This window comes from Homo sapiens, chromosome 12 (assembly GCF_000001405.40).
Source record: "Homo sapiens chromosome 12, GRCh38.p14 Primary Assembly".
NCBI lineage: Eukaryota > Metazoa > Chordata > Mammalia > Primates > Hominidae > Homo > Homo sapiens.
The window spans coordinates 116,700,609-116,710,147 of record NC_000012.12 but is presented as its reverse complement, the minus strand read 5'-3'; the positions used below and the strand labels follow the sequence as shown (position 1 = coordinate 116,710,147).

The following is a 9,539-nucleotide window of genomic DNA, read 5'->3' as shown; positions in this document are numbered from 1 at the left end:
ATCCAATGATAGCGAATTCATTTGCAGAGCAGGCAAGCGCACTTTCCACTTCTATCATCCTGCCTGGAAGATTGAAGCCCAGTTAGAGGTTAAAACCCTTTCATAATTGCACAGGAGTTTAGCTTTGCCTGCTTTTTCCTTGTCTGATTTTATGCAGTGGGGAAGGAAGTCTTTTTGTTCTGCACAAATAAATTATAGGCATTTGTCGCGGCCGGAGTTGACCTGCATTAGGGATGCTGAAGAAACCTGTCACGGCAGGGTGTCTCTCGGCGTGACTCGACTTTCCTGAGAGAGCAGAGATCGGGAAAACTGCACTCCAGATCTCCTGAGCCTGTCATTTATTTTAGTGAATTGCTAAATGCAGAAATGTAAAATATAAAAAGGCTAGGGGAGGATCTGTGGACCGTCTTACTGGCTACCTGGTGTTGTAAGATTATTTGAGCTCAAGGCAGTCCACATTTCCCCCAGCACCAGCCAGCTCCGCCCTGTCAAGCTGCTGGTCTACATGGTGGTTTTCGAGGGTATAAAGGACTTCAGTTTCTAAAGATGTTCCTAAATGCTCCGTGGCATCTGCAGCAGGATGTCGGGAGCTGGAATCCACTGTGCTCTCTTCCCTAGGCACGTGCTGGACTCAGTTTCTCCCGGGAGGTTTGCATCTGGGCAGCACTTCAGGGCGTGCTCCTCGAGCTCCGTCCGTGGCATCCATACCTGCCTGGGCTGTGCCTGCAGCCTGCTAAATGCCAACCTGGAAGCCCAAGACAGATAGGCTTGGAGCAGCTTAGCAGCCGGCTGGGCTAATTTATTTGACACAAATCAGCTCATTGACCTGATTTAGCACGGGGAGGAACTACAGAGCCGAGTCACATGTGATCGTAAAGCCCTTTCTTCTCACTGCAGCCCTTTCAGACCTCGAAGGATGGCAGTGTAGTCAAATGACACTTGCGGTGCGATTTCAAGGGAAGGAGGAGAAGATGGAGAGATGGAAAGTGGAGAGCAAGGCAGCGCGGGTGGCACAGACACCGACAATTGCTTTCTGTGCCACTTGGTGGCACCAATGCCATAGGTTTTCTGTCCTCAATGTGATCGTTGTCTAGAGATTATGGGCCCCGTGCCTGCGTGGAGCTCTCTCTCCTGAAAACAATGAAGCTGTTTCTATAGATGAGAACCATCTGGTGGGGATGACAGATCAGGACTCTTTCCTGGGTCCGGGCGATTTTGTGAACAGGGACTCAGGAAAGTAGCCCTTGCAGAAGAGGGAACTGGGCATGCTGCTGGTGCAGAGAAGACCCAAGGCTTAAATAAATACTCACAGCTACCCCCTTCTTCCTCCTGCACCCTCCGCCAACACGAAAAGTGGGATAGGCCTCTTAACCATTCATACTCAGACAAAGAAAAACATTTATGAAGCACTTGCCATGTGCCACTCTGCACGTGCAGCGTCCCATCCCCATCTTCAGAGACCAGCATTCTTCTTTTGTGTGTGTGTGTGAGAGAGAGAGAGAGAGAGAGAGAGAGCAAGACAGGGTCTCACTCTGTTACCCAGGCTGGAGTGCAGTGGCGCGATCTTGGTTCACTGTAGCCTCAACCTCCCAGGCTCAAGTGATCCTCCCACCTCAGCCTCCTGAGTAGCTGGGACTGCAGGCACACATCATTACACCCAGTTATTTTTTAAAAATGTTTAGTAGAGATGGGGATCTCGATATATTGCTCAGGCTGGTCTTGAACTCCTGGGCTCAAGTGATCTGCCTGCCTCAGCCTCCCAAAACGGTGGGATTATTATAGGCGTGAGCCACTGCACCCAGCCAGGCATTCCTTTTCTTTTTTCTCTTGGAATGGAGTCCTGTCACCCAGGCTGGAGTGCGGTGGCGCGATCTCTGCTCACTGCAACCTCTGCCTCCCGGGTTCAAGCGATTCTCCTGTTTCAGCCTCCCAAGTAGCTGGGACTACAGGTGCATGCCACTATGCCTGGCTAATTTTTGTATTTTTAGTAGAGATGGGGTTTCATCATGTTGGCCGGCTGGTCTTGAAGTCCTGACCTCAGGTGATCTGCCCACCTTGGCCTCCCAAAGTGCTGGGATTACAGGGCATGAATCACCGCGCCCAGCCAGGTGTTCTTTTTTGTCATTTTATAGAGGAAGTCTCAGACGCTCAGGTTAATTTTAGCACAAGTTTACACCATGACATGGAGGAGCCACCTGCAACTCCAATCTGCGTGCAAGCAGGGCCGGGGCAGCGCGTTGCCTTGGCACGTTTTGATCACCCTTTGTTGTTTCCTGTGGGCAGGGGCTGTGCCTCAGTCTCTTATTTCTGGGCCCATTGGCCTGTCTATGAAAGGATGTCAACAGGATAATGCATGGGGTCCTTCCAGCCCTGGTATTCTAGAATTGTAGTTGGTGGCTTCTAGGACCTGGAAGGTGTTGCTTGAAACCAGTGCTGTTTAATCAGTGGGAGATTTTACACCACCCACTTCAAGCAATGTTTGAAGACATTTTGTTGTTGTTTTTGTTTCTTTGTTTGTTTGTTTTGAGACAAAGTTTTGCTTTGTGGCCCAGGCTGGAGTGCAGTGGCACAATCACTGCTCACTGCAGCCTCGAACTCCTGGGCTCAAGTGATCCTCCCATCTTAGTCACCTGAGTAGCTGGGACTACAGGCATGAGCCACCATGCCTGACTAATTTTTAATTTTTTTTTTTTTAGAGATGGGATCTTGCTGTGTTGCCCAGGCTGGTCTCCAATCCCTGATCTCAGGTGATCCTCCCACCTCAGCCTCCCAAGTAGCCGGGACTACAGGCCCATGCCACCACACCTGGCAAAAACCCATGCTGTTTAACCAGAGGGAGATTTTGCCCCCAGGGGATATTTGGCAATGTTCGAAGACATTTTTGATTGTCAAAAAATTTATGTGCAGGGGTGCTACTGGCATCTGGTGGGTAGAGGCCAAGGATGTTGTTCAACATCCCACAACACCCAGGACAACCAGCCCACAACAAAGAACTCACTGGCCTGAGTGTCAGAAGTGCTAAGGCTGAGAAACCCTGGGTTAAACTTTGTGACCCCTTGCATGGCAAGGATACGGAATTTTGAGCCCTGAGTATTCACGCAGCAGGTATTTAAAGGGTGCTTACTCTTCGCCCAGCTCTGTGTAGGTACTTGGGGAGTATACAGAACTGGAAGATGCTTCATCCCTTCCGGGGCTTAAAACTGAGTTGCTCCAAGCCTCTGGTTCTGGACACATTGTGCCTGAGCACCCTTAGATGTTGATGCTACCATCCCTCTTAGGATAAAATACCACTTTGGATTTCCAAAGAAAATATTTTATCCTCAACAGAGTAGCCACTATTTATTTATTTATTCCTACCTCATGCATAGAGCTACACTGAGTGTAGCTGGTTTATTTTCAAAAAGAAGTTGAGGAAATGCCACACATTAGACTCAAGGAAGAAAGTTAGAATCAGATGTGCAACTGTAAGCCAGCAACACAGTTGATGCAAGTAAGCTTCCTGGCAGCAAGGGCAAAAAGGGAAATAATCCTTCATGATAATATAAAGCATTGAAGGGACTGTATTACTGTCTCCTCAAAGGGTACAAAGTCTTGAATAAAATTTTAATGTAGGCTTCACACAGAAGATACTGCTTAGTATTTGGTAATGCGTACTATGTTCACCAGGCATATCAAAGGCAGGCATTTCTGGGTTTTGGATGGAATGATAAATTAGGAATGATATCTGTCTTCAGATGTCTGTTGGAGAAGATAAGCAATTATGCCACTACCTGTTAAACAGGGTTATAAATGTGAGGATAAAAGGAGTGTTACTATGTGAGTGAGGCAGGCAGAGAAGACTTACAGAATAAAACAATATGTTTTTATTTTTATCTTTTAATTTTTTTTTTTTTTGAGACAGGGTCTTGCTCTGTCACTCAGGCTGGAGTACACTGGTGTGATCACGGTTCACTGCAGCCTCAACCTCCCAGGCTCAAGTGATCCTCCCACCTCAGCCTCCGGAGTATCTGGGACTACAAGTGCACACCACCATGCCCGGCTAATTTTTTGTATTTTTGTAGAGACGGGGTTTTGCCATGTTGCTCAAAGTGGTCTTGAACTCCTAGACTCTAGCAATCTGCCCACCTTGGCCTCCCAAAGTGTTGGGGTTATAGACACATTTTAAAATACATATATATATTTTTCTAATTGCAAATTAATACACTGCATTACAGAAAATTAGAGCAATACAAATATGAAGGAGAAAATAAAAGCTCCATAACCTTTCTACCTGTAGACAACCACTGTTATCCTTTGATGTGTATCTATTTTCATGCACACATGCGCTTATATATTAATATATTTAATAGAAACAAAAATTGGAATCTCATTATATTTTACCATGTTGTAACCAAATATCCCTTAAAGGGCTTTGAAGGATGAGTTGGAGAGAAAGTGAGTTGCACGCCACTGCGGAGTTGGGCAGCCAGAGTCAATTTCCACCACGCATGCATGGATCATGGAGAGGGGTGAAATCCCACATTTCATTCTGCATCTCCAAGGGCCATCATTCACAGGGAGCTATGGAACCCAGCAGCCCTGGGGCCCCATTCTCTCTCTCTCCCTTTCTTCACCTAACAATGTAATGGGAATGGTTTTCCATGTTAAATAGTCTAGCATTTGATTTTTTGGTAACAGCTTTATTGAGATATAATTTACTTACAATTCACCCATTTGAAGTATACAAGTCAATGACTTTATTCACAGAGTTGTGCATCCATTACCACTATCAATTTTATTGATTGATTGATTGATTGATTGATTGAGATGGAGTTCCGCTCTTGTCAGCCAGGCTGGAGTGCAGTGGCACAATCTCAGCTCACTGCAACCTCCACCTCCCGGGTTTGGGTGATTCTCCTGCCTCAACCTCCCGAGTTGCTGGGACTACAGGCACATGCCACCATGCCCGGCTAATTTTTGTATTTTTAGTGGAGACAGGGTCTTTTTAGTAGAGTCTTTTGTGTCTGGCTTCCTTCACTTAAAATGATGTTTTCAAGGTTCAATCATGTTGTAGCATGGACCAGTACTCCATCCCTTTGTATGACCGAATAGTATTCCATTGTGTGGCTATACCACATTTTGTTAAAATACTCATCTGTTGATGGACATCTGGATTGTTTCCGCTTTTGGCTCTCATGAATAATGATTTTTTTCTGTTCTTTTCTTTATTTCTTTTTTTTTTTTTTTTTGAGACAGTCTCGCTCTATTGCCCAGGCTGGAGTGCAGTGGTGCGATCTTGGCTCACTGCCACCTCTGCCTCCCGGGTTCAAGTTATCTCCTGCCTCAGCCTCCCAAATAGTGGGATTACAGGCATGTGCCACCATGCCTGGCTAATTTTTGTATTTTTTTTTTTTTTAGTAAAGACAGGGTTTCGCCATGTTGGCCAGGCTGGTCTTGAACTCCTGACCTCAAGTGATCTGCCCGCCTTGGCCTCCCAAAGTGCTAGAATTACAAGCGTGAGCCACTACACCTGGCCAATAATGCTGCTTTAAAATTCATGTCCAAGTTTTTCGTGGACATGAATTATGTTTTTAGTTTTCTTGGGATATGAAAGAGTGGAATTGCTGGGTCAAATTTGATCAGTGTTTCCCCTTTTGAGGAACTACTAGACTGTTTGCCAAAGCAGCTATACCATTTTGCATTTCCACCCACAATGTACAAGGATTCCAATTTCTCATCACATCCTTGCCAACACTTGTCATTGTCTGCTTTTTAAAATTATAGCCATCCTAGTGGATGTAAAGTGGGGTCTATCGCAGGATGGTTTTGACTTGCACATCTCTGATGGCTGATGATGTTGAACATCTTTTCATGTGCTTATTGGCCATTTGTGTATCTTCTCTGGAGAGAGATGTATCTAAATCCTTTGCCCATTTTAAAATTAGCTTTTATGTCTTTTCATTTTTGAGTTGTTAGAATTCTTTATATATTCTAGATCAGATTTGCAAATATTTCCTCCCTTTCTGTGGTTGGTTTTTTTCACTTTTTTGATGGCGTTCTTGGAAGCATAGAAGTTTAATTTTGATGAAGTTCAATTTGTCTAATTTTTTTTTCTTTTTTTCTTTTTTTGAGACAGAGTCTCACTGGGTCACCCAGGCTGGAGTGCAGTGGTGTGGTCTCAGCTCACTGCAACCTCTGCCTCTGAGGTTCAAGAGATTCTCCTGCCTCAGCCTCCAGAGTAGCTGGGATTACAGGTGCATGCCACCATGCCCGGCTAATTTTTGTGTTTTTAGTAAAGATGGGGTTTTGCCATGTTGGCCAGGCTGGTTTTGAATCAGCCTCAAGTGATCTGCCTGCCTCAGCCTCTCAAAGCCCTGGGATTACAGGCATGAGCCACCGTGCTCAGACCACCACTTGGTTTTCTAATGACTGAAGATATTCCTTGGAATGGATGTGCCATAAGGGGATCATTGTTTGACCCTAATTTGCATCAAGTTCTTTGTTTTAACTCCCACCCCCATGTCTTTATTCTGGAGATTATCTGGAGTTCAAGCTCAAGCCAATTGCAAATTTCATCCGATCCTTGCAGCTGTTTTAAACACGTCATTGGTCGACCTTCCTCTGTTCCTCCCTCCCAAATGTGTTTAGTGGTGTTCGGACCTCTGCAAAGCAATAGATGAGGTTCCCAAGTCTCCAAGTAGCCAGCTTCAGGTGCCCTGTCCCTGACCTTTCATTGCCCGGGGTTGCACTAATGCAACATTGCAGGATCACGTCGCCATCTGCTGGCAAATGTGGGCAAATGCAATGCCAGGAACCCTACGATTTAGCCGTCTGTTGCTTCTCCAAGGCAGATTGGCAAGTCTATCATTCCTTTATTTATTTTTATTTTTTTATTTTTATTTTTTTGAGATGGAGTCTCACTTTTGTCGCCCAGGCTGGAGTGCAGTGGTGCGATCTCGGCTCACTGAAGCCTCCGCCTCCCAGCCATCGGCTGATTCTTTTCATTCTGGCCGACTCCTGTTGCTTTGTAAGGGCCTTCCCAACCTTTGGAGGTAGTGTCTAAATACTAAACCACTTATAAAACGGAATCTGTTTTCTACAAAGCAAGGAAGTTTATGTACTTCTTGTTCCACGGGCAACTCTTGGTGCCTGAAAAATGTCATCACCGAGTAGGAAGCAATAGGTTATTTCAGGCGAGGAAAGGACAATGGATACAAATAGTTTCTTGTGTCATAATGGTCATATTGTCAGCATTATATTTGTTAAGTCTCTGATTCTCCCGAAGCCAGAATTCTCTCTGGCGCATCATTATTCCTGCCTCTCCCAGGCCTCTGGGTCGATGCACTGTCCCTGCCTGCTGATGAGAAGAGGAGGCCCTGAAAAGACAAATGATTGACCTTTGATTGTTTTCTAGAACAGCAGCAACTTTGTATTTTTCAAGGAATGATAGGCCAGGTGCAGTGGCTCACACCTGTAATCCCAGCACTTTGAGGGGCCAAGGCGGGCGGATCACTTGGGGTCAGGAGTTGGAGACCAGCCTGGCCAACATGGGAAACCTTATGTCTACTAAAAATACAAAAATTAGCCAGGGCTGGTGGCATGCACATGTAATCCCAGCTACTCGGGAGGTTGAGGCAGGAGAATCGCTTGAACCTGGGAGGTGGAGGTTGCAGTGAGCAGAGATTATGCCACTGCAGTCCAGCCTGGGTGAAAAGAGTGAATCTCCATCTGAAAATAATAATAATAATAATAATAATAATAATAATAATAATAATAATGGAATGATAGACTAGCTAGGGAGTGAAATCATCAGTACCCAGGATACCATCTTATGCTCAGGAGATATTTTAATAAGTATTTAGTGAATGAATCAAAAAGATCAATCATTCTGTATGTTGACTTTTTTGTTTTTTTTTTTTTGAGACAGGGTCTCATTCCTTCACCCAGGCTGGAGTGCAGTGGTGCGATCACGGCTCACTGCAGCCTCAACCTCCCAAGGTTCAAGTGATCCTCCTGCCTCAGCCCCCCAAGTAGCTGGGACTACAGGCACAAACCACCATGCCCAGCTAATATTTGTATTTTTAGCAGAGACAGGATTTCGCTATGTTGGCCAGGCTGGTCTCGAACTCCTGGACTTAAACAATCCCCCCGCCTCGGCCTCCCAAAATGCTGGGATTACAGGCGTGAGCCACCATGCCCGGCCTTGACTTTTGACTCACTTTTCTTTTTACCATACCCAGCTGCTTTATCCTGCCCTAAATGCCTCAGTCGTTTCAATAAATATTTGTAACACTGTTCAATGAGAGCATGTGTTTATAACTTTTCTTTCAGTCTTTAACAAAAGGCACAAAAATGTGATTTTCTAAAATGTACGGAAAAATGTGTACACAAATATTTACAACAGCACTATTCCAGTAGCCACAAGGTAGAAATAGCCCAGATGTTCATCAGCAGAGGAATATTTAAACAAAATGTGGTCTACCCATGCAGTGGAATATTATTCAACCATAAACAAAATGTGGTCTACCCAAACAGTGGAATATTACTCAGCCACAAAAAGGAAGGAAGTGCTGATCCATGCTACAACATGGATGAAACTCGGCAGCCTGATGCTAAATCCTAAACAAGAAGCTAGTCACAAAGGCCACATCATCTATGATTCCACTTAACGAGAAATGGCAAATCGGAATATAGGCACATCTGTAGAGACAGAAAGTAGATTAGTGGTTGCTTGGGGCTGAAGGGACTGGGGGAAATGGGGAGTGATGGCTAATTGATATGGGATTTCTTTCAGGGAGGTAATGAAAATATTCTAGAATTGATTGTGAGAATGGCTGTGCAACTCTGAATATACTAAGAAATATACGAAGATGGCCAGGGGCGGTGGCTCATGCCTGTAATCCCAGCACTTTGGGAGGCTGATGTGGGAGGATCACTTGAGCCCAGGAGTTTGAGACCAGTCTGGGCAGCATAGTGAGACCCCAGCTCTTCAACGAAAAAAGCAAAGGAAAGAAACATACTAAGAATACACTTGTATGTGTGGCATGGGAGAATGGAACCCAGCACAGAGAGCTGAGTGGGCTTGAGCAGACAGACCTGGGCTTCCATCCAACTCTGCCCCTTACACGTGGCATAATTTTAAACCAATTCTAAACCCTTCTGAAGCTGGGAATTTTTATTTGTAAAATTGCCAAGATGCATCGTAATACCCTCCCCCACAGGTTTTTAGGGGGGATTAAAAAGATAACATATGTAGGCTGGGTGTGGTGGCTCACGCCTGTATTCCCAGTAACTTTGGGAGGCCGAGGCAGGCAGATCACTTGAGGTCAGGCGTTTGAGACCAGCCTGGCCAACATGACAAAACCCTGTCTCTCCTAAAAATACAAAAAAATCAGCTGGGCGTGTTGGTGCACGCCTGTAGTCTCAGCTACTCGGGAGGCTGAGGTGTGAGAATCGCTTGAACATGGGAAGCAGAGGTTGCAGTAAGCCGAGATCATGCCACTGCACTCCAGTCTGGGCAAGAGAGTTAGACTCAGTATAAAAAAAAAAAAAAGAAAAAA

At 45.3% G+C, this 9,539-nt stretch overlaps 2 annotated features.

Moving 5' to 3' along the window:
• Positions 797-976: an enhancer, noted in NCBI's record as "active region_7099". NCBI's record gives its function as "activates an Ori minimal core promoter by ATAC-STARR-seq in GM12878 lymphoblastoid cells {active_cell/tissue: GM12878}" and the evidence as "EXISTENCE:reporter gene assay evidence [ECO:0000049][PMID:35858748]".
• Positions 2,277-2,326: an enhancer, noted in NCBI's record as "active region_7098". NCBI's record gives its function as "activates an Ori minimal core promoter by ATAC-STARR-seq in GM12878 lymphoblastoid cells {active_cell/tissue: GM12878}" and the evidence as "EXISTENCE:reporter gene assay evidence [ECO:0000049][PMID:35858748]".